The sequence below is a fragment of the Homo sapiens genome, chromosome 6 (genome assembly GCF_000001405.40).
Source record: "Homo sapiens chromosome 6, GRCh38.p14 Primary Assembly".
Lineage (NCBI taxonomy): Eukaryota > Metazoa > Chordata > Mammalia > Primates > Hominidae > Homo > Homo sapiens.
Genome location: NC_000006.12, coordinates 35,214,576 through 35,238,602, shown reverse-complemented (window position 1 = coordinate 35,238,602; position 24,027 = coordinate 35,214,576). Strand labels below are relative to the sequence as shown.

At 49.4% G+C, this 24,027-nt stretch overlaps 1 protein-coding gene and 1 long non-coding RNA gene across 9 annotated transcripts in view; one reads left to right on the top strand and one right to left on the bottom strand.

Moving 5' to 3' along the window:
- Positions 1–18,233, top strand: part of SCUBE3-AS1 (SCUBE3 antisense RNA 1) — a 39,086-nt gene extending 20,853 nt beyond the window's left edge. For all 3 annotated transcript variants that reach the window (XR_001744102.2, XR_001744099.2, XR_007059559.1), the window contains one exon: positions 7,123–18,233. This is a non-coding gene — a long non-coding RNA (SCUBE3 antisense RNA 1). The remainder of the gene's footprint in view (positions 1–7,122) is intronic.
- SCUBE3 (signal peptide, CUB domain and EGF like domain containing 3) overlaps positions 1–24,027 on the bottom strand; it is a 39,124-nt gene that overhangs the window by 14,477 nt on the left and 620 nt on the right. For 2 of the 6 annotated variants that reach the window (XM_005248943.2, XM_005248947.2), the window contains exons 2-8: positions 10,901–11,023; positions 9,864–9,989; positions 6,744–6,878; positions 5,628–5,753; positions 5,302–5,418; positions 3,110–3,157; positions 585–701 (exon numbers count right to left, since the gene is read on the bottom strand). In XM_005248943.2, the coding sequence (XP_005249000.1) occupies positions 585–701; positions 3,110–3,157; positions 5,302–5,418; positions 5,628–5,753; positions 6,744–6,878; positions 9,864–9,989; positions 10,901–11,023 (792 nt within the window). Of the gene's footprint in view, positions 1–584; positions 702–3,109; positions 3,158–5,301; positions 5,419–5,627; positions 5,754–6,743; positions 6,879–9,863; positions 9,990–10,900; positions 11,024–20,404; positions 23,924–24,027 lie in introns of those variants that run through there. The other 4 variants (NM_152753.4, XM_047418383.1, XM_047418382.1 and 1 more) reach the window with 3 other exon arrangements.

The window sequence follows — 24,027 nt, the reverse complement described above, 5'->3', positions numbered from 1 at the left end:
CACAGTATGAGGCGAGCACTATGGAAAACTGAGGCACAGAGACATTAAGTGACTTGTCCAGGATCACAGAGCTAGTAGGAGACAGGGCTGGGATCTGAACCCAGCTTCAGTCCTCCTAACTAGTATCCTACTCTCCCTTTGACCAGTACAGCCTTTCGAGGGGTAGACATCATTTCCCCAGAGCCCACTGGGAAGGTCTGAGGAATGTGGGGTAAGAAGGTTATGGAACACACCTGTGACCTCATGCACACACACAGTCAGGGCTCAAATATCCTTCCAGACCCAGGAGCAAATGTGAATCGCATGTCCATTAACTAAGAGGGTTAGGGACCCATGGGGGATAGGAATGAGAGTAGGGAAACAAGGTGGGGTAGGGGAAGGGGGCACTAAGGAACTGGCTGGACTTCTCTGTCCCTTGAACTGAGATGAAACAGGCAGATAGGAGACAACCCTTAGCTATGTCCTGGGTTCTTCATAAGAAGGAGGTTGAGGAGGTGTCATCCCCTAATAGGCACCCTATCTCTGGTCCCAACCTCAGCCCCTTACCAAAGGTCACTCTGCTTCTGTCCTCTCAAAGTCCTTACCTTTGCACGTCTTCCTGTCTGGCTGCAGCATGAAGCCCACAGGGCAGGTGCAGTGGACACCAGTCGCTGCATCATGGCACTTACTGTCACAGCCCCCGTTGTTGACAGCACAGGTCTCTGTTTAGGAGGGAAGTGGGGGATGGTAATGAGGTTACAAGCCTGGAGGAGTCCCAAACTCTGAGGGTAGTGGAGACCACAGAGGCCCGAGGGAAGGCCTCAGCTGCCTCTCTGTGCTTTAGAAGGAGCATTAAGCCAAGGGAGGCTCCCAGCCCCTTTCCTCCCATCACTCCCAACCCCCATCCCCTCACAAGTACAGCCAAGCAGTCCACTTCCCTGCCCCCTACTTGATTGAAACAAGGTGGACAGCAGTGAGGCAGGTACAAGCCAGAGCTGTCAGGCAGGAATGTGCCGAGGGGGTGGAGGAGGTGGGGCGGGGGGCAGTAGGGAGGGATGGGAGCTAAGTGAGGGTGGTTCTGGCTGCCAGGGAACCAGAAGGGACAGATAGGAGTTTCTTCCTCTTTCCACTATGTCTTTGGTGGGTGGGTGGGGATTGTGGTGGGACAATCTTATTGTAAGTGGATTGGAAAGAATGAGCCGGGCCATTCCTAAGGCAACTGAAGGATACCCATCAATTTATCTTCCCCTTCCCCGCTGCCTAGCTGTCTTAAGAAAGATCCCACTTCCAGGATCGACTGACTGCTCATCCTCAGAGGAGGTAGCACATACTGGGTTAATCTACCTTCAACTCCTCCCAAACCCTCCTTTTAGTTCTAGATGGAGATAAGCTGGCTGTTTTGTTGTTTTACTCTGCTAATGGGGAGATGTTGTATAGGAGAGGGGAGAAGCAAAAGAAAGAGAAGAATCCAGAGGAGAAGGAAGGGTGTAAAAAGGTTAGTGAAAGAGTTAGAGAACCTCAGAGCTAGATAAGACCTAAATCCTTATTTTAGCTAAGTCTCTTATGCTGCTCCCTCTTAACTGGTAAGTTTTCCCTTTCACTAAAAGGTCAGAGTAGGAGGAGTGTCGATGGGTCACTCTCCCTATTTTCTGAATTCACAGCAGGAGAAAAACAGGTTTAAATGGTAGCTTGGGAAAGTCAGATGTGTCCAAGGAAAAGCCATTAGTTCAAACAGTGAAGGCCCCTGATACAGAGACTGTGGAGGTGGTGCATACTGTCCTCTTGGGGTGACTAGAATTCTCCCATTAGAGAGAAAGAATCCCAAGACCTCCACTAGGGAAGATAGAAGAATGGTTCTCAGAATCAAGGGAATTGAATAAGACCAGTACTGGATGTACTGTCATCTTCTTAAGTCTCTGACTCCCCACACTCAGGCCCAACTCTTGTCACCAATGAGAACAGGAAGGCCAGGGCTCCAAAAGAAGCCTAACTCTATGGGTCCCTGGCCATGCCCTGGTCCCTCAAATGCCCATGTGTGGAACAGCCCAACCTGGAGTGGGATATCGTCTGTGCCATTTCCACTTTAGTCTCTCCTGAGGCTCTCCAAGACCATGGGAGGAACCTAGTAGGGAACATTGAGTTCAGGTTCCAAGGCTAGCCACCCGCTAAAGAGTGCTTTTAGCATAAGAAGAGGTCCACTAAGCCCAGGAGCAGGGGGAGGGGCACAGAGATCTTATGCCAAGGCCAGATAGCTTCTGAAGGATGTAGGATACGGAATAGCAGAGCTGGCACAATGTCCATCCCAGGCTGGACAGAAAGCTGGGCATAGCCGCCCACCTGTGCAGGACGGCATTCTTGAGAGCAGGGTGGGGCAGCAGGACCATATAGTCTCACCCCTTTGCTCTCTAGGTCACAATATTAAAACCACAAGTTACTCTGTGCTTATGCTGTGCCAGGCACTTGCCAGGTAGATGCTCTACATGCACTATCTCAAGCATTACAACCCTAAGGAAGGACTGTTATTTTATAGAAAAGTAAACTGAGGATCAGAGAGGAAAGTAGCTTGCCTAAGGTCATACAGTTAGAAAGTAACAGAGCCAGGATTCAAACTCAGGTCTGCCTGAACACACATGCCATGCTCTTAGCCATTACGGTAGGAGAGAATGGTGAGTGATGCTGGGACTGTGAACTAATGTGGGTAAGAACCCAAGAAAGAAGCCCCAAGGAGGGGATGGCATCTAATCCTATCGCACCCCTATCTCAGGTGGCACAGTGGGCATGACAGGGAAGATGAGGCTGGCTGGGTAGAGGGGGGTGGGGAGCAGATGGCTGGGAGTGGGGTGGGGTGTTAGAAGGTGGGTGTGGGAGGAGACAGCAGAAGAGGAAGGGCAGAAGGAGAGTGACAGGAACAAAGACGAGACCAACATGAAAGCTCCCGGGCCAGCTCTTAGGGACTCAGGTTTCTTGTCACCCAATGGGCCCAGTGCCCTGGCTGCCAGGATAGCCCTGCTGGCAAGTTGGGGCCCAGTCAGGCTGGGCCCAGTGGGCATGCAGTTAGTGGGAGCCCCAGCGGGTTAGCCCTTCCCCTAGCAAGCCAGTGAGAGCAAGCGGAGAGAGCAGACATATTTACCATTAGAAACGGCTTGAGTGGGGATGTGCTGCTCTAGCCGCCTTTCCCCTGTTTGACATTGTAAAAAAGCTGTTTAGGTGCTGGGCAGAAGCCACTGTGGCCCTCTGGCCCCGGACCCCTCCCCACCCTCTCCTCCCCACTGCCAGCCCAAACCAGTAGCCCCAAATGATGAGCCCTGGGACCCTTATGACAGCTTCACTCCTCATCCTTATCCTGTCTGGTGGTATCCCCAAAGATGCCAAGCTCCCCGCAAGTGACTGAAAAACTGAAACAGTCTCAGAAAGGGCAACCAACCATGTGCCCAGTACCACAGAGCATGCTCAAGCCTAAGCTGGGATGCACCCTCAAGTCTTACTAACCACAAAATCCCAAATCCCAAAGGGTGCCGCCCTTTCTGCTAAACTATACTGCCTTCTCAGTCTTCCCACCGAATCTGAATGTCCTGACGGCCCCAGGCAATGATGTTTCCTCTTACCAGGGATGGCCAGAAAAATTAGATATATGGCAAGGTAAAATAAGTTCTATTGGAGAAGAGGAAGAGGAACTAGGAAAGAATATAGCTGTAAACCCCAGAATAGCCTCATTTGGTCTTTTCTGCCTCATTTGGCCTTTTCTGCCTCATTTGGCCACAGCCCAGTGGTGGAACAGGTCTTGAGTTAGAGAAGAGCCCAAGCTCAGTAAGGGTGTTTTCAGAAGCAACCATGTCTGGAACTTTGAACAGAAATAAATCAGAGAGGGATCAGACCTTCACATCCCTGGCCCCTGACTCATGCATCTTTTCTTTGGGCACTGCAAACAATTTCTTTTGAGAGACTGGGGATGTGTGAATGTGTCCAGGAGGTGGTGAGAGCTTTGAAAAGCAAAATAATTAGACCTATGAGTAAAAAATGAAAGGAGCTGAAACACACCAGCCCAAAGAAGGCAATGAGAAGAGCCTAAAAATGTTCTGGGGTCTTTGAAGAGTTAATTCAGAGGGAAACGTGGCAGGGGAGATTTTAATTATATAGGGACTTTAGAAATGGATGTGCCAGTCTCTGGAGCAAGTGCCTGAGGGAGCCCTGTAAGAGCATCATCTGCTCTCCAGTTCCTATTCCTGCAGTGAAAGGGACAGGTCCCTGGAAAGTCTAGTTCCTCAGTTAATGTCATGTCTCTGATATACATAACTTCATACACAGTGACTGGATTCACACACCCCCATCCTCAGCATGCCACAGCCCACCAGATGGACAGTCATTCATAAACACCTATGCCCACACAGCAAGCTCATGCCCTGCCTGGCTAAAGACACAGCCTCTCTCTCAGCCAAACCTCTTCCTTTCATTTCCCCCTTCTCCAAGGGGAAACCTTGTTCCATCATCCTTCTCAGCACTAAAGACCTAAAGGCTAAAGGAATTAGGAATTAACTTTAAGGAATTAAACTCATCTAGGGTACCTGAAAATATGTGAGATAAGGCCTAAGAATTCAGGAAGAGGGATCCAGGTATTAAGAGGACCTCAAATCAAGGTAAGAGATGGAAGGCTGGAGTTGGTGAGGAAGAAACAGGGTTGCTGGTGGAGCTGAGAGGGAGTACCACTGGCATCTGGAGGAGAGAGAAGGAAATGGGGGGTAAGGTGAGGTGAGTAGAAAGGGGAGTTGCAGGAGGAGAGTGAGGAGAGAAGGAATAAAGAGGAAAAAGATACCTGGAGCCAGGAAACCCCATCTGTCAGTCAGTTCAGGGATGGTTGTTCCAGGAAGGAGCACTCTGTCCCACCCTCAGTTGCAGAGTGGGGACACTGGGCTTTGATAATTCCTCTGTTATCACACTAGTCAACCAAGGGCCTCTGGTCAGGCCTAAGCAGATGCATTTCCCCAGATCTCTTCCCACTTCTCAACTACAGCCTTGGTCAATAAGCAACTCTGCTAATTATTCCCAGTTTGGCAACACTTTGTCCTGGGATGAAGAGGGTGGTGAGGCTCCTGGAACAGGGTGGTAAAACCACTGGGATGGGGAGGGGAAGAGGGCTGGGGAGCCCTTCAGTCTCTCTTTGAGTTGTCCCTTACTAGACCTGGCATTTTCTGGGTCTTAACTCCCTCACCAGTCCCTCTGTGCCCAGCACCTGGGCCCCATGCACTCCTCCACTTCCCTGGTTCCCAAAGGGTCCCACCCCCACCCCATCTCAGGTGGACTGAGTTCTCCCCTGGCCTCACCCACCGATGCATGTCTTCCCGTCGGTATGGAGCACAAACTTGATATGGCAGCCGCACCGGGGACCCTGCTCTGTGTCATCACACGTGTGCTGGCAGCCGCCGTTACCATAGTTGCATGTCACTGTGCACAGAGAGGACAGGGCCCTGTCAGCTTGCTCCTCCCTGCATCCACAGTTTTCCACAATGTGGGTACTGGCCCCCTTGCCTAGTTGCCTCCCCCATACTCCCTTTTCCTCCCAGCCCTGTCCTCTTGCTCCTGAAGCCCTATACCCTTCCTCTATGTTTTCACCCCCGACCCCACTGCCCCACCTGCCATCCCAATTATCTCACATTTACAGTCCCGTTGGTTCTTGGTAAGCTCAAAGCCAGGACGGCATTCACAGGCAATACCCCCCTTGGGTGTCTCCCGGCAAATGTGGGCACAGCCGTGGTTCTTGTTCATGCAATTCATTCCTTCTAAAAGAGAAGAAAGGGGTGTGAATGCTCTGTACCCCTGGATGTCTAGAAAAGAAAAACTACAGGGGGCAACTGGGGACCTAGGGAACTGGGAGAATTCTACTGAGGTTGAATTCAACACGAGGGGACTGACTCTCCTTGTCCCAGGCCTCCTGTCTTCCCCACAGACCTGGGTGCTCATGAGCAGAGCACAGAGCTGTTCTGAATGATGTATAACTAGCTAGCTATTGATACTCATCCCAACGAATGATCACCCTTTCCTTTAAACAACCAAAACATTGTGTATAATAGGTGTCCAGCACTGTGCTGGAGATGGGGTGGATTTAGGAAGGTCCTAGAAAAATACAAGGTGTGATCACTCCCCTCAAAGAGCTTACAGTCAAACTGGGAAGAAGATCAGTAGCAATCAGATCTACAATGAGAGTGGAGGGTAATTGGTATAGATATTTACTATGCAATTTTATTCAACAAACATTTATTAAACTCTCACTACACGCAGGGCAGTATGTTAGGTGCTGGGGATACAACAATGAGTTAGACATAGTCCCTGCCCTCAGGGATGTCACAGTCTAGTGGGAGTGGGGGGCATGAGTCATAGAAACAGCCAATATAAACCCATTATTCCTGCCTGACCCTCCCATGCCAATCCAAGGAAAAAGATATGGTGAGGCCCTCTCAGATAGGCAGCAGCTTAGAGAAGCTCAGCCATCTACAATTAGGGACAACATCCACCTCAGGTCTGGACACAGAGGATACTCCATAGTAGCCTTAATCCCATATTGATCCCAACCTCAAAGTAATTTCCCCAGATTTTGCCCTAACAGGGTGTCTGTTCCTAGATCCTTTAGGGTGTGATTGAGTTGAAGGACAAGAGAAGAAGGAGCTAGCTGAGTTGAGAATGGAGGGTGAGACTTAGGGGCTGCTGAGGGACAGCTGGGAAGAGAAGCCTGGGGAGGGCAGGGATGGGGCCATCCCAGGTCATGGGCTGACCTTCTGGCCGCTGGATACAGGTATGCTGGTTGTCGCTGAGGAAGAAGCCTTCCCGGCAGTGGCACTCATAGCTGCCCATCATGTTGACACAGCTCTGCTGACAGCCGCCGTTGCCCTCGGCACACTCGTCCACATCTGTGCAGGATAGGTAGTCAGTGGGGTCATGGGGTACAGGCAGGGTCCAGGGTATATCCCAAGACTTCAGCACCAAAGGCAGTCTTAAGAACTACTACCCCCTAAGCCCAGCCTTAAGCCAGGAAGTCCTCACACCCTTGTCAGCTAATATTTCACTAAGTGTAAAAAGGCTGCCCTGAGGGCAGAGCTGGGAAGCTAAGCAAGTGGGGGAAAAGGGGACCTTTGAACCTCAAATGTCACCTAGGTGAAGCCATGCCTCCCTTTCCCTCACCTGTGTAAACTGGGTATGAAGACAGAGGACACCAGGAAAGAAGCCAGAGAAAGAGGAACAGTGATGAAGGTAAGGATGGAGATTGGTCACATTGGTCGGATAGGTAACTGGGGGTTGCAGCTGGTTGCAATGAGCAGCCAGGGAATGTAGGAACCTGGGAAGTGGCTCTGGGTGCAGGCAGAGCTATGGCCATGGTGCTGAGGTTGGAGGGGCAGGGTGGGGAAAGGCAGCTGAGCCTCACCTCCTTGTGGAGCAGGGACCATTTCTGTGGACAGGCCACAGCCCTGTCCTTCCTCCCCTCCCCCCTGTGCCTGGGCTTGCTGCCATATTCCCTAGCCTTTCTCCTATTTTGGCTTAACAAAACAAAGTCTGACAACTTGGCGGGGAGGGATCTGGGGAGAGCTGCCAGGCCACACCCTAGATGGTGGGGGTGGGGGGCAGGGAGAACAGTAGGCTCTCACCCCCAAATCACCACCCCTAGGTTCTAGAGCCAAGCTCACCCTGGAGCCCCCAATTCAACACCTTGATTCCATCTCTATGCTAGCTACTGCCCTCCCAAGTCCATGGCCCTTCTCAGTTTGCCTTGGCCCAGGAGGCATCACGTAGATTGGTTGTCAAATGGAGCAGCTAGAATCTGGGCTCCTGAGGGCTTCATCTGCCCCTCTCTTCCCATCCTCTCTGCTGAGATCCTGCAACCTTCTCTTCCCCTTCTGGCCAGGGCAGAGAGGCCCAGATCCAGCTGGCTCTTGCCCAAGAGATGCACCTGTTGGAAGAGCTAAGGTGTACTTTCCTGTGCTTTGCTCCTGTCTCTACCCTGTCTTTTGCTGTTCTCTTGACTTCTCCCCATCCCTGTCTTCCTGCTCTTGCCACATTCTACATGCCATCCTTCTGTCTGCTCCCTTACTATCTAACCTTGTGGCTTTGCTACTCTAGCCAAGCTCTTTCCTCCAATTCTCAGTGGGGAAGCTAAGGCCCAGAGCATGGACAACTTTCTCAAAATTCCCCTAAGAGCCAAAGGTAGTATTGAGACTTTGAACCCTAACCCTAGGTAATCTTTGTCCCTTGACCCTCTCTATACCTAATCATTCTCTTGTCCCTCTGGTTGGTTCTCCCCAAAACACTTATAGGGAAATGAGATGTGGTGACAATCAGGGGCCTAGAAAAGTCAAAGGCAGCCAAAGAACTCAGAAGCTTATGTGCATGTCCTGTAGGCAACTCACTGTCCTGGTCTAAGTGCCACAGCTTCCCTTCCCAAAGGAGTTTCATAAGAGGCCCTCAAGGGTGACTGGGCAGATATGAGGCCCTTCCCTGGAAGCTAAAATGGTAGGAGAGGTGACCAGGGCTGGGATTAAGGGCCCAGCAGATATCAGGGTTTGGAGGCCAGGGTTGGGTGTAGAAACCTATAGCCTGGGTCCAATGATGGGTTATGACTAGGTTTGGAGGCAGCTCTGCAGTAAGGAGGCTCTTCTCAGCCAATAGGACTTAAGAGAATTCATCTATTTGGTCAATTGGTGGGTGAGGACCAGCCCAGCCTGCTTTTCTGGGCATCATTCCTTTTGTTTCTCTTCCTTTCCTGGTCCTTTATGCTTCTAGTGCCTGTTTTCTGTTGTGGCTACAGGGTGAAGTAATTTGGGAGAAGGCCCTGGGTTCAAATTTCAAATCCTTTTCTGCTATGAGCTTCAGATTTTCTGCTTGGGGAAGAGTCTGACTTGGTCCCAGTAATTTTCCAAAATGACAGAGACCAAAGTTGAGTTCAGTTCCTTAGAGATTCTCTTATCTCTGATCCAGCTCCTGGGACAAAGGAGATCAGTGAGGAGAGGGTGAGACTGGAGATTGCAGGAAGAACTGGGAGAAAACAAGCCTGTAAGGGTCAGAGGCTTCCTGGGGCATAGGGATGCACTGTCGTCATCATCAAAAACATTCTTCCCATTACTGAGCTCCTACCATGTGCTAAGGATTGTACAGGGCTCTTTTCATATGTTGTCTTGTGGTGATCCGCACAGCAGCCTTCAAGTGGGTTATTACCACCCCATTCTATTTTATTGTTATTTTTTGAGATAAGATTGCTCGATCTGGAGCGCAGTGACACAATCACAGCTAACTGCAGCCTCGACTTCCTAGGCTCAAGCCAAGGAAGAGCTCCCAAGTAGCTGGGGACTACAGGTATGCACCATCATGACTGACTAATTTTTATTATTATTATTTTTTGTAGAAACAGGGTCTCACTATGTTGCCCAGGCCTGTCTTGAACTCCTGGGCTCTAGCAGTCCCTCTGCCTCGGCCTCCCAAAGTGCTGGGATTACAGGTGTGAGCTACCACACCTGGTCCCACCCCCATTTTAGAGAGGAGAAAGATGAGATTTCCAGAGATTGGCTGATTTGCCCAAGACCCAAGGCTAGTAAGCAGCAGAACCAAGATATCTGTGTGGAGCCAAATCAGCTTCCTACCATGCCTCACCACTGGCTAAACCCACTATTCCCATCTCCTGGCCCTTGCCCTAGGAGCATTTCGTAGCAGCTTTTCCTCTAATGTTTTTCATCCAGCAGGATTTTTCATCCTAAGTGGCCAGTCTCAAAGGGGAGGCTGACCTTATTCTCTTGTGAATGTAGCTCTTCTTGATCACTCTCTCCTCCTTCCCTGGGAAATAGGAAATGCTGAAAAGATCTCTTTCTCCACAAGACATCCCTCCACCAAATCCCCTCTCCTTTGCTTACCCAGACAGTTGTGTCCGTCATGTGCCAGGTGGAATCCATCATAGCAGGTACACCGGTAATTGCCAGGGATGTTGACACAGTCATGCACACAACCTGCATTATCCTCTCGCTCGCACTCATCCACGTCTGTGGGCAAAGGGAAGCTGAGACAGCTGAACCCACCTGCGAACCCACTGTCCACCCCCAGACTCAGCCTTATGGTTGTGTTTACATAGTTATGTTCATGGCCTATAAGCCATTTAGCATTTTTCTGTTTTCATTTAAACCTAAGTCATGAACATTTTCAGGTCTCCATCCAGTCTTTCTAATTACCATTGTACATGGTTGCAGAATATTATTTTTCTATTTTTTTCTCTATTGTTAGAGATTTAGATTTCTTTAATTTATTTTACCATCATAGATAATGCATCAAAGAACATCTTCTCCCATGTATTATTTTGTTACTTTGAATAAGTCCCCAAGAGTAAAATTCCTGGATCAAAGGAAATACCTTTTAAGATTCCTGGTAGGTATTACAAAATTACTTTTCAATTTATAATGCAACTAGGAATTAACAAGTGTACCCTGTCCACTAAAGTCTCACCAACACTGAAGCTCATAAATTTAATATCTCAAGGCTACTTTAATTTGCATTGATTTAATTATGAGGGGAAGATGTGTTTACATTATGAACTTCCTCTGAAGCACACTTTCTGTTCCCATCCATTGTGGATGTGGTGTAAGGGTCTAAAGATAAAGGTTCCAATGTCAGGGAACCTCAGGTCTTAGTCTTATGATTTTCATGCTCCCACCCCAGCCAGGTTGTGGGCTGTGAACTGTCCCCACCAGGGCCTCTGCTAGCCTGCATGGTGCCTTTGTGCAAATTAGAAAATGGCACCCTCTCTGGGAAGATGCAGTTGCCCCCCTCACCACCCCCCCACCACTTGACCAGTGGAATTTCTAGCCTTGATGTGATGGAGAGTGGCCAACTGAGGGCAGTGGCACTGGTTTGCCTTCTTCCACAGGTCCCTCTCCTCCAGGTGCCCTTCCAGCCTCACCTTTGCAGTGTTTGCCGTCCCCTGTGTAGCCAGACTTGCAGATGCACTTGTATGACCTCGGGGTGTTCTGGCAGATAGCATCGATGTGGCAGTTGTCAGTCCCCTCCACACACTCATCCACATCTGGCAGGGGCAGAGGGGGCACATGAGAACCTCTGTTGGCACCTCTTAAGGGGTGTCTTGAAGGTGGGCTTCCAAGGGCAGAATCCCCTCTTCTCTAAAACAGAGGCAGTGACCCCCTCCAGAAACAGGTGCTGTCTCACATCTCTCTGATTTCAGAGTAGGCAGACACTGATTTTGGGAATTCAGAAGGAACCCCCACTGCCCTCAAAAATACTAAATTCACAGTGACAGCTAAAACTCCATCATTCGAAACACTCCTTTTTTTATTTGAAAACAAACAAAAAACCCTTAGAGTGGGTAGTACACTTAACTTGATTAGGAATAATCAACTTAAAGTGAATGAGTTTACGGAGAAGGCTTAGAGGGAAAGTTAAGGGAAAAGGCATGGGAACAGTGGTCTCTGGGAAGGTGGCAGGGTCCAGCAATCACTAGTAAAGGAGGAAGAAAGGGGGATGGGGCATCTGAGGGATCTTCATCTGTGTCATGATTCTGCTTGAGACCAGGCCTGCTTCCACTTGCCCACCATGGAGCCAAGAAGCTTTAGAGGAAAAATGTTCCATCCTGGATGATTTTCCTCGGCCCCTGTGCTGCCAACAATGGAGACATCCAGAGCTGGCAGAGGTTGGCACCAGCTACCTGAAGCCTAATAAGTGCAGCCCTTCAGGCCCTAATCCCCAGTGTTTAGCCCTCTGTCTCCTGGCCCTAGCTCTAACAATAGGTGCTACACACACAGCTATACTTGAAGGAAGAGGCCACTCACCATCTAGCAAAAAAGAGGATGGTTAGGAAAGGACATAGATGATGCCAGGCGCGGTGGCTCATGCCTGTAATCCCAGCACTTTGGGAGGCCAAGGCAGGTGGATCATGAGGTCAGGAGTTCGAGACCAGCCTGACCTTGATGAAACCCCATCTCTACTAAAAATACAAAAATTAGCCAGGTGTGGTGATGTGTGCCTGTAATCCCAGCTACTCAGGAGGCTGTGGCAGGAGAATCGCTTGAACCAGGGAGGCGGAGGTTGCAGTGAGCTGAGATCGCGCTAATGCACTCCAGCCTGGGCGACAGTGAGACTCTATCTCAAAAAAAAAAAAAAAAAAAAAAGGACATAGAAAAGAGTCCAACTTCTGAGGCAATATTATGGTGCCCTTAAATCTGAACTGAAATAGAGAAACATGTTATTCAGTTGAAAACGCCTTATTGAGTGTGTTTGTGAAAGACACTATAATGATAGCTGTGGAGGCTCAAAGGTGACTCAGCCCAGCCAAAAGGAGAAACAAAAAACATGGAGCAGAATGTGGTACATGCCCTGAAGACATGAGAGATAAGGTGAGGGGGTCCTCCACCCTGCACATCAGAGTCAACTCTCCTAGGAGATGTCCAAGCCACAACCCCAGAGATTCTGGTCAGATAGCCTGGACTGGTGCCGGGCCATCAGTATTTTTCTAAAGCTCTTCCAGTTATTCTAATGTGTAGTCAAGGTTGAGAACCTGTGTTACGGGGCAGATCAGAGGAGAAAGAGATTACTTCCAGCTGGAAACTGGGAAACCCAAAATAGTGTCTTAAGTAGCAGCCTGCAAGTGAGTGATCACTGAATGGGAGGCATTACTCTCCTGTGATCCCACAACTGAGCACAGAAAGGAGATGAGATTTGACACCAAGACAATTTGATATCCAAGTGTGATCTATGGGCCATAGAATTGCCTAGGTTTTATTAAAATGCAGATTCTCAGGACTCATTATAGCCTTTTTGAATCCAAATCCTTAAGTGATTATTTTTACTGAGTGAATGGATGCATGGACCAGTATTCTCTCCAATTTATAGATACCCAGAGTCCTAGCTTGAGACAGTTATCTGTCCTCCGCTTTTATACTCTGAAACTTCCTGGGGCTAAGAAGAGAACTGAAATCCCCAAACACCCTGCCTCAAATCTCACAGGTTTCCGTTCAGCTCTTCATTCTACCCTTCAACTCCTATGCAGCCAACCATCATACCAGTTGATTCTAAGTGCTGGGAGCCTCTGTCTACACTTACTCTCCACCTCGCTCAGGCTCCATAGGCATGGTGTCTACCTGCTGGCCCATCCTGGGAAGTCATCCCAACGTGACAGAATGGAAAAGAGAGGGCATGGAAGACTAGTTCATAGGTAAGGGCAAGAGGGACCTCGCAGATGGTAAGGTGCTCTGTGGAGAATCAGTTTGTCCAACTGATAAACAGAAAACAGTACAAAGAAATGTGCTATCACAGAACGATCTTAAGCACTGGAACCAGTCAGTCCCAGATTCAAATCCAGCTCTACCCTTCTCTAGGGATGGTTTTCTTATTCTCCATCTCCTCCCCCTTAAAATGGGGATGATAATACCTCCTCATGAGAGGCTGTGAGTAGCTGATGGGATAATTTGTGTAAATTGGCTAATAAAGTATCTGGTAAACAGTAGGGTCCCAATACAGGAAGCTTGAGATGGTATTAAATCACTGGTCAGGCAATAGATGCTCGAGACAGTATGACAGCCACTAGCCACATGTGGTTATTTAATTTAAAATTCACTTCCTCAGTTGCACTAGCCACAGGCCAAATGCGCAATAGCCACATGTGGCTAGTGGCTACCATGGCGGAAAGCATAGATATGGAACATTTCCAACACCACAGAAATAGCACTGCTATTAGCACACCACAGGATAGCACTGCTCTGGGGTTCTGAATAAGAGATACTCCCTGGGTCCAGCAGCACGGATACTGGTCTGGAACTGCTCCCCTGACCATATCAGAGGTATGTGCCTGTGACTGAATCAGCTGGTGCTTCACTAGAGACTGTGTCAGACTATATGGGCTCCCAATTCTTTCCTTTGCCTCCCATTCAGTGCTCACCAGTACTAGAGTGGATCTTGATGCTGATCACCACAAACCCAGGCCTCCCAGCAGATTCTTTTTTTTTTTTTTTTTTTTTTTTTTGAGATGAAGTCTCGGTCTGTCACCCAGGCTGGAGTACAGTAGTGGTGTGATCTCGGCTCACTGCAACCTCTGCCTCCCAGGTTCAAGCTATTCTTCTGCCTCAGCCTCCTGAGTATCTGGGATTACAGGCATGTGCCACCACACTTGGCTAATTTTTGTATTATTAATAGAGACATGGTTTTGCCACATTGGCCAGGCTGGTCTCGAACTCCTGACCTCAAGTGATCTGCCCGCCTTAGCCTCCCAAAGTGCTGGGATTACAGGCGCGAGCCACTACACCTGGCCACAGATTTTTTAGACCCCTCCTACAGCCAGACTTCTCCCACCATCTAACTAACCCCTCTCCCTTACCTCCCTGCTCACAATGCTTATCCCTCTCCAGCAAAGAGTCTCTGCTCTGGAAGACATTATCTCTTCCTGTTCCCTCTACAATACCTAACCATCCTATTCCTTTCTATGCATTTGCGTATTTTCGTTATTCACATTGCAGATGCATTCCTCATTTTTCTCTTCCAGCCACACTATGCTCAGCTTTCCATTCCAGCTCAAATTTTTCTTCCCAAAAGCTCTTCCTTGTAAGCCCCGTTCCTGGTGAGTTCCTGGTCCAAGGGGACTGTTCTCCTCAGTTCATTTACAGCCGTCACTGAATTGCTCTGCTAATACTTTAAAGCGTGTTCAGCTTTCCTCACCTGGCTGGGTACCTGCTGAGGAAGATGTCCCTTCAATGTTTGGTTGGAGTCTTTTGAAGCAGAACAGACCTAAGACAAAGCTGTGAAAGAGGGCCCCAAATTATACCCAGTATCTCCTCCTTTTACCACTCATTCTTCCAGAGTTCTCTCCTACCATATGTGCCCACCCAGAATTTGTCCTTGCAAGGACCCTTCAACGCTCACAGCACAGTCTCATCTTAGCCTGTTCTCTCAGGATGCAGGTGCTTACTAGCTGGAAAACCAGTTGATGCTACTGGGTGTGGACTGGTTTAAACCAGCGGTTCTCAACCCTGGGGCTACACACTGGAATTCCCTGGGGGTTTTGAAAAAAATGTGAATGTACAGATGTCCCCTAGACCAGCTGAATCAGGATCTCCAGGGTGAGGCTGTGGCTACTATCTGTCTTCCTTTCCCAAGGTAATGCCAATAAACTATTTGCCCAAGCTGGGAAGAGACCAGGGCAGCCACATGACAGAGTAGTTAAGAGAGAGGTTCTGGAGCAACATTGTCAGTTCAATTGCTAGCTCTACCTGTGTCTGTGTGGTCCTGGGCCAGCCTCTGAACTTACCTGTTCCCTCCTCTGTATGTGGGAATAATATTCATCATAGTACCTCCCCATGGGGCTTCCAGGAACATCAGTTGAATTAATACCCATCAAGTACTTAACACCACAGTGTGGGCATATAGAAAGTGCTCAACAAAGGTTTGCTATTTTTTTCTTTCTTTTTGAAACAGAGACAGGGTCTTGCTCTGCTTATCCAGGCAGGAATGCAATGGCATGAACATAGCTCACTGCAACCTCGAAATCCTGGGCTCAAGTGATCCTCCCACCTCAGCCTACTGAGTAACTGGGACTATATGCGCGTGGCATCATGCTCAGCCAATTTTTTAAAATTTTTAGAGGCAGGGTCTTGCTATGTTGCCCAAGCTGGTCTCGAACTCCTGGATTTGAACGACCCTCTCATGTCAGCCTCCCAAAGTGCTGGTATTACAGGTGTGAGTCGCCATGCCTAGCCAAGGTTTGCTACTATTATTCCTTCTCTCCAACCTTCTCCCTGTATTCTTTCTGAACTCCCTTTCCCTATCAAAGCCCCATTTCAGGCCTGGTGTGGGGAAATGCAGCACCAGGTGAGCATGTGTTGGTGGGGAGGATTTGGGGAGACACATCCCCACTGCTTACTCTACCTGTGCTGGGAACTGCACAAAGAATGGGGGTGAAGTGGGTGAGAGGCCAGTTGGGAACCCAAAAGCTGTCCTCTACAATTCTTTTTGAAGGCTAGGGAGATCCCACTCCTACTTCAGGCCATGCATTGGAACCAAAGTTGAGGTGGGGGAGAGTGGTGGCTGCACAGATACCATAGACAAGCCAAGACCTCCCTGCCTCGCCCTGTCCTGGCATGAAGGCACAGGTCTGTAACTACAGCAGCTTTTCCCAGTACCATCTGACATTTCTTCTGAATTTGCTTTAGCGCCTAGCAGAGCACTCCATAAACTCTCCTAAAGTAGGTAGGAAGGGTAGGATGGGGTATGGGATATGAGGGTCAGAGGGTCAGACCAGAAAGGGTGGATTATTATAAAACAAGTAGTCCTAAGATTCTGAGGATGGGCAGGTGTACCCTAAAAGGGAAGCAGTGGGATTCCCAAGTAAATACTTCATCTACTTCACAAGTTTGCCCAAGCCCAGCTCAGGAACAGTAACAAATGGAAATGAGCAGGGATGCCGGCTGTGGACAAGCAGACCCCCTAGGTAGAGTCCACCCCACCTTCCCATTACCACAGGAATTATTACCTTACCACCCATAGGGGAGGGGGTAATTGTGGGCAAATTTGATGGGCCCAGTGGGACAGTCAGAAACAGCCTGCCTAGAGCCCTAATGTACCCACCCACATAGCTGTGACATCCTCAGCCCAGCCAGGCTAGCCCAGGATATATGGTGTGTGTAGCGCACTCTGCTATTTTCCTCTCCTTGAATGTCCTTGAGGACCCAGTTCAGGTGCCTCTGCTGGGACACTCCCTGTGACACTACCAGCCTTCTCTGATCTACTCTTTCTCTTGACTCCTAAGACTTACTGTCAGGCTCTCTGGTCACCTGATCAATCCCAGGCTTGTGATACCTCATATGCTACCTTGTACCATTATTTAACTTTTAGTTCATGTGTATAATTTTCCTACTGAAGCAGTAGGAGCTTGAGGCCATGGCTCCTAAAGCTTTGAAACCCATGCAGCAACTGAAATAGAGCTCAGCATTCATTCATTCACTCACTCACTCAATAGTTATTGAGCACCTCCAACATGCGAAGCACCGTGCTAGGTGCTGGGGATTTGGCAGTGAACCAGAGATGAATTCTACATTGAAGCCACTTAGTAAATATTTGTTAAACAGATAGACGAGTGGATGGAGACATGGATGCATTAGTAGTGAGTGGATAATGTCTCTATCTGTGGCATCCCTTCTGCTCTATGTTACCTCAGAGAAAAATCTCACTTCTTTACTCTCCGTGATCCCACAACTGTTCTGGATGGGGGAAGTCCCAGGAAGTTTAGTCTCAAGTGGAGAGTAGGGAGAGAGGAAACTAAATTCAGAGGGGTAGTACCCACTTAAAGGCATCCATATGATGAGTGCTGGGGCCAGAAGAGACTGGAACCAATGAGTCATAGGGTCTCAGGGTCTTCAGACATCATATGGGGCTGCTACAGGGATCTTTTCAGAGCATCCCCTTCAACAGATGTTCCTCAGCCTCCATGCTAACTCTCAATGATGGGGCACCTGACACAGGCATTCCACTGCTTGCCCCTGGTGATTTCCCTCATTCTCACCTCTAAGTAACATCCAAAATAAAACCAGCCCAGCCTTGGGCCATGATATCCTAACCCACAGCATGTGCACATGTACCCACATCTGCATATCTGCTCTACCTCCAGATCAAAATAGCAACCAGGGAGATTGGCAGAGCCTGGAGTACCAGGCTGTCTTCCCAGTTTGGGACTGGCTGAGGCACTGTGACTTCAGTGAGAGTCTGGGCCCATCCTCAGTCTAGAAAAAGCTTATGCAAGGATGAGGGTAGCCTAGAGAAAGTCCAGAAAACCACACAAATGACCACCTGTTGATTCCAAGGCGGAGACAGAGCACTTTCTCCTTTTAAAAACAGTATCCTCTCCTCTCACTCAAGCTTAGCCTGCTCAACTGAACAGCCAGGAAAAGCTGCTGGTGTTTGGTGATTTGAAGGGAAGGGGGTCTGAACCTCAGAAGCTTGTCACTTACTGGGGACCCTGATGAGTTTCTCTCTGTTGTCCTGCCTTATCCCTAATCTAGCTCCCTGATCATTTGAATGTAACCCTAATTGGACAAGAATTTTCTCCCTTTCAGTATGGACAAAATCAACAACCATGAATCAGAGACTTTTAGAGGATGGGTAGTGAAGTGGGGGAAGAACAGAACATTGTAGAGTGAGGGGCAGAGAGGCAGGCAGTGGGCATGGGTAGGTTCTGGTTTTGTGATTAGTAATATTATCTCTTTAATTGAAAAAAATAAACTCATTTCAGATTCGTATAATTTCACTAAGTGTACAGTTTTTTCATGCAGGTTGGTTCACGTGGTCTTCAAACTGTCCTCTCTCATCTGGGGCCCAGTGAGGATACCTCAGGAAAGAGCAAGTAGCTAGTGTAAAGCCAGGATCCAGGTCTTCAAACTCCCAGTCCAGTGCTCTCTAACTACCCACTGTGTTCTCTAAGCACTTGAGGGAGGAATCCATGCCTTAGTCATTATTGTACCTCCCCCAACTCCACCTCAGCACTTAGTTCAGCATGAAGCATGCATCCAGTATATAACCGTGGAGCGGAAGGAGCTGAAATGTACATGATCCAGGGAGGAAATCAGCAGTGGGAATGCAGATGCTCTGAGGCTTTGGGCATGGGAGCAGCAGAAGAGAGCAAGGCTGAGTAGTGGGCAGGGAGGGTACAGACACAGTTGCAATAAGGAAAGGGTGGGCAATGCAACAGTGGGCAGGTGTTGCCTGCCCTTGGATTCACTATGCTGGGGCCAAGCAGCTGGTTAGAAACAAAAACAAACACCAGGGATACAGGTTCCTGCTGTTAACAGCTTCAAACCGCCAGAGGAAAACTCCAAATAAATATAATTAGAAACTTGTAAAAACGTCCTCTCTGTAAACCTGCTCCCCAGGGTCTACCCTTCAAGCACTCCCCTTCCCCAGCCCTCCCCCCAATGCCCACATATCCTGATACTCCCCACTTTCAGAGGGATTCCTTAGATGTGTTTCCTTATCCTGGATCTTCCCTCCAGCCCTGCAGCCCCTGCCCAGGTCTTTCCTCAGCTTGTTACCACCAGTGACCAGACCTGAAGAGCCCCTGGTGTAGGCTCAGAAATCCAAACCCCACAGCTCTCTAGGGCTATGGTTATAACCACAGGGAAAACCAGAGGTAAGAGCAAGGACCACTGTGCCCTATATAGGGGTCATCATCCCATTTGTTCAGCCAAAGCACAGCATCTAACAGCAACTACAAAGCAGTGCTTGATCTGCAGGGGGACATGTCTAGGCTAGGGCAGAATACAGACAGCTAGTCTCAGAGCTAGAAACACGGAATCCTGGGGCCCAGATCCAAGAATATTCAGTTCCCATAACACGGATATTTCAGCTCCACTTCCCAACTTTGTTGGATACACACATATAGAAACACACATGTGTTCTTCAGGGGCTATTTCCAGGGATAAATACCCACTTCATGGACACAGTAAGAACTATCAGCTACTTGGGGTTCCAGGAAACTGGGGTGGGGGAAGAAAGGAAGAGTATCCAGATGACCTAGCCTCAGGCAGGCAGAAGTGGACCAGCATCCAAGGAGGAGAGCGCCTGAGATTTGGGTGAGTAACCTGTGGAGGCCCGGCGCCTTCTGCCTTCAGCAGGAAGGATTTCAGTGAGATGTGCAGAATCTCAGGGCTGCAGGGAACCCTACTGATATTTTACAAGTGAGAAGAGGGATTTCAGTGATTTCCTCCGAGGCTCAAATCCTTAGGCTCTGCATTTGTCTAAACCCACTGGCACCATATACCTCTATATCCCCGGTGCCACTTGAGGCTGGCATTGGGTGGGCATAGGAACAGGAGAGTAGCCAGTCCAATGTTAAGTGGCCAGTGGGGGAGGGGAGTCTCTGTCCCCTCTTAGCCCAGGTGACTAGCTCCTGTACCCCCTAGACATCCCTGGGTTGGCCGTTGTTTCGCTTCTATACCCAAGGCCCAGCAGTCCTTCTGTTTCCAGACTCCAGTCTTCTGAGCCTGAAGAAGCTGTCCCCAGGTCTGGGCCTCTTGCAGGCACTGCCAGCCTCAGAGCAGCTCTGCAGTTTCCAGCCCTGACAGGGACTCTTTCTTATAAGTGGTCATGTGCTAGGGATACGGGATGTCAAAGGAGGCCCACACCCTGACATTTGGGGACCAGAGCTGGGGGAAAGGACTGAGTGAGTTCAGGCAGCAAGCTCTTCCAGCTCCATCTTCTCAAAAGGTCTGAAGCCCTTCGTTCCCTTCCCCTGTCCTCAGTTCAAGGCACTGGACCAAGCCATTCCACTTCTTTACTTCTCCAACTAAAACAAAATGCATATTGCCCCACTTCCTTTTTCCTCTCACCAGAGCACTTCACACACACACACACCCTGAGTCATGCACACACATTCACACGTGTGTGAATGCACACTTCACATTCCCAAACTCACACCCAGGGCCGGCTCCTCTTACAACAGGTCCCAGCTGCTCACATCTCAAACCGGTTCTCATGCTCTCAGATTCCTGAAGGTTTCAAAAAACAATCTCATTTGAGGGCTGCTGATGACTGTCTTCTTTCTCTGCCTGCAGTAATTCTGGCCTTAGTGTCTTCTAGTCCCCTTTCTCTTATTCCACCCTGCAGAGACTCAAAGAGATGAGAAGGAAGGGGTTGAAAACAGGGAAAAGTCTCTGTACTCTCCCACCCCGAGGCTTTCCCCACCTCTGAGACATGTCATGAGAGAAGAGAGGTCAAAGGGATTCCTGAGGAATTTCTAAGCAGTCCACCCTCTTCTCCACCTTCTGGAAAAATGGGGGTGGGCTTAGAGGGAACTGACTAAAGATCAGGCTCTGAGTGGGGACTCTCCCTCTCTCCAGTGTGGCCTGGACAGGGCACAGGCAATAGCCGGCTGCCCACGGGGCCACCCTTACCCGCTGACATGGTTATGGTTTTCATTTCATATTTTGGAGGGAGGGGCTAGTAGGAACAGTCCCCTCACTGTAAGAGCTGGCCACAGGAGCCCAGGGAAGCGGGGAGGAAAGGAAACAGCCACATTAAAGAGGAAGAGAAGGGTGGGAGAAAGAAAGAGACACATACACCCAGACAGAGACCCGGAGAGACACACCGAGACAGAGAGACACTGTTTGCCACCACATGAACGCTCTCAGTCCCAGGGATGGGGTTACTTGGAAATTCTAAATGCATGACTTTATCAAAACTCTATCCCTAACAAGGAGAGAAAACTACCAGGTAAACTAAACGGCCAGGCTGGCTCTCCTGGAGCCAGCCCTGGGGACAAGTTTCCCTGGAGGCCGAGAGACCTTTTCATTCAGCTGTAACCTGAGCCCTATGCGAGGATTAGGTCTTTTTAACCACTGCTGCACACACCCCCCCCCCCGCCGCGCCTCCCCCCCGCCCCCCCCCCCCCCGCCAAACACCCACCCCCTTACCAAAAGCAAAGCAAATTAATGCTTTTAAGTTAACAATTATCTTGGTTATCCAGTCTGTCTACTTTAAAATATACAGACAAGCACTTGAAAAACACTCAAAACCATGTCCCCTCATGCTCCCTCCCTTCCCAGTCACACAGGCTTACCCACCTACTCTTCCATACAGTTCTCACAGACACTAAAACAGCAGTTTACCCTTAGCAACTACGTCACAAGAAACACAGACATCCAGCTATGTTGCCTGTGGGTAACTGTGGTGAACCTCTCATGTGTGCACAGTCGCACACTCACCTTTACACTTAGGGCTCCCTTCCTTGTCTCCCCCTTTCCCCCCTTCCACATGACTTTGGTTTTCCCATTGTGGGAATCACTGATGAAAAGGGACAGAAACCCAGATACCCCCAGAGGTATAGTAACTCCGTGCAAGATACTTGCCAAGGGTATTTGATTTTAAAGACCTGCTAGTGCTTTATATAAAGCATGTGGCATTAAAGGCACACTTTCTGGCACTGCTGATAACCAGGAGATATGTTTGAAGGTAAGGCCTCCCTGATGCTCACAGACTGTGTCTATGGGTAAGGCTGTAAGGTTGCCCCGCCTGGTCAGTACTAGTTCTTCCTGCAGCATCTGCCTGCAAGTTTGTGTCCAGAGACATCCCTGTAACCCAGCAAACCTGCTATTAGGCAACCTCTGGCAGATGGGGTTTGTAGATTTCCTGAAGAGAAGGGTCAATGAAAGGCTTCCATTCTAGGCCAAGCTTAGGGATCAGAAGAAAAGAAGGAGGATACCAAGCTAACTGCGGTCCAGTCACAGGAAGGGTGGCCTGTGAATGAGATAAGCTGGGGACAAAAACTACTCTAAGTTCCTTGAGGGCAGGGGCCTTCACTCTGGCAGCATGTTCCTCAGTACCCAGCAGGGAGTCCAATGAAAGTGGAAGCCCTGGAGTACCATGCAGGGATTCTGACTCCCGTTCCTGAATCATGAGCTGATCTCCCATACTTGAGTGCCTTGGCTTGATGGCACCTGTCCCTTGGAGGGGTCTCCATCTGCCCCTGGGCCCCCCTCGAATACACTGCTTCTCCTTTGGTCCACAGCCTCACTAGGCCACTACAGACACTGGCTCCAACTTGAAAGAGGCCCTTATCTTGTCTCTAGGTTACTTCATGATATCTGTTCCTTCCTTCAGACTAAACTCCCCACCTAATTCCATGTTATGAGTAAGTCAGCACACACTACAAAAGCCAGCTTTGTTTATGAAAACACAAATCCACAGTGAGGAGAGGGGCTGCTCCCAGGTTGGGGGTGGCAGTGGCGATGCGCTGTCTGGAACCAGGACTGGAAAAGAGGCAGTGTGGGGCTGGAAGGTGTGGGGGCAGGGTCCAGTATTTGACAGCTGAGGATCTCTAGTGTTTCAGTTCTGTGAAAGGACAGGTTGGAGGGGGAAGAGGTTAGCTGAAGAGGCAGTGTTTGGGGAGAGGAGGGCGGCATTGATACAGCACCTTCCTCTTCACAGAGCAGGAGCCCATCCAATACAACAGAGCAGCTTAAGAGCCAAACGCTCAGGCTCTGGGACACAGCGACCTGTGTCGGACACTCAGGCTTCCCCAACTCCCAAGTTCAACTTTCCTTCTGGCCCAGCCATCTCCTCACCCAGCTGGCTTCAGGAGCCCCTGGGACAATAGGCAGAATCATACTCTCCTGGGCAAAACCTTGCCAGGAGGAATTTTCTTTTTGTCCATATAAATCTCTTGTCGGTGAGGACACGATGGGGGAGGGGTACAGCAAGAGGTCAAGGGGGAGGAGAAACTGTCCCGAGAGAACTGTAGTACATCAGCCTAGTCTCTGCCTGCACAGCCTTGGGACCTGCCAGGCGATGAGCTGGGGGTCAGGGACGGGGGCGGGAGGCCTCCCTGTCTCTCTTTAATTCCTAGAGGGATCTGTCAGAGCTCCCCGGCCTGGAATTCTACTTTGTTATTTTAATGCAATTCTGACCTGGATTTAAATGGAATTGGAAACCCGAGGCCTTAATAAATAAATATTATGATAAGAAATGAAAGCCATGCAAGACGAAAGAGATTTCACCCCAAAGAGGCAGAAACGCAACATTCCTGTCGGGAGCCAGTCACAGAAATTTTCTTCTCTTCTTCAGCCCCCTACCATCCGGTGAGAGATGAGTTGATTTTTCCATAAAAGATCCTATTTTTCTTCAACATTTTTCCACTGATAAGGCATCAACTTAGAAATGTCTAACTTTGCATGCGGGTTGGGGGTAAGGGAAAGAAATATACGGCACGGCTGAAAAGTTTTCATTATTCCCTCAGTCTCTCCAGGCCACAGCGTAAGTTTCTGGCAATGTTTGAGAGAAGAGAAAATTCTCTCTCAGATTTTGGAAGACAAGAAGTCTTTCGAAGATGCTGGGAGTGGATGAAGTCGAGCGGAATTCTGAGGCGCGTGGTCTCTTCTGCCCACCGCCCCCAAGAGTTTCTCACTCCTCTCTGCCGCCCCCAGCTTGTCCGGCTTTTCGCTCGGGGCGCAGCGCCCAGCGGTCGGGCCCCTGGCCGGGGAGTCCGGGTGCACAGAGCCGGGTTCTGACAGCAGCACGCTCCCCAGCACCTGCCCTGCCCCT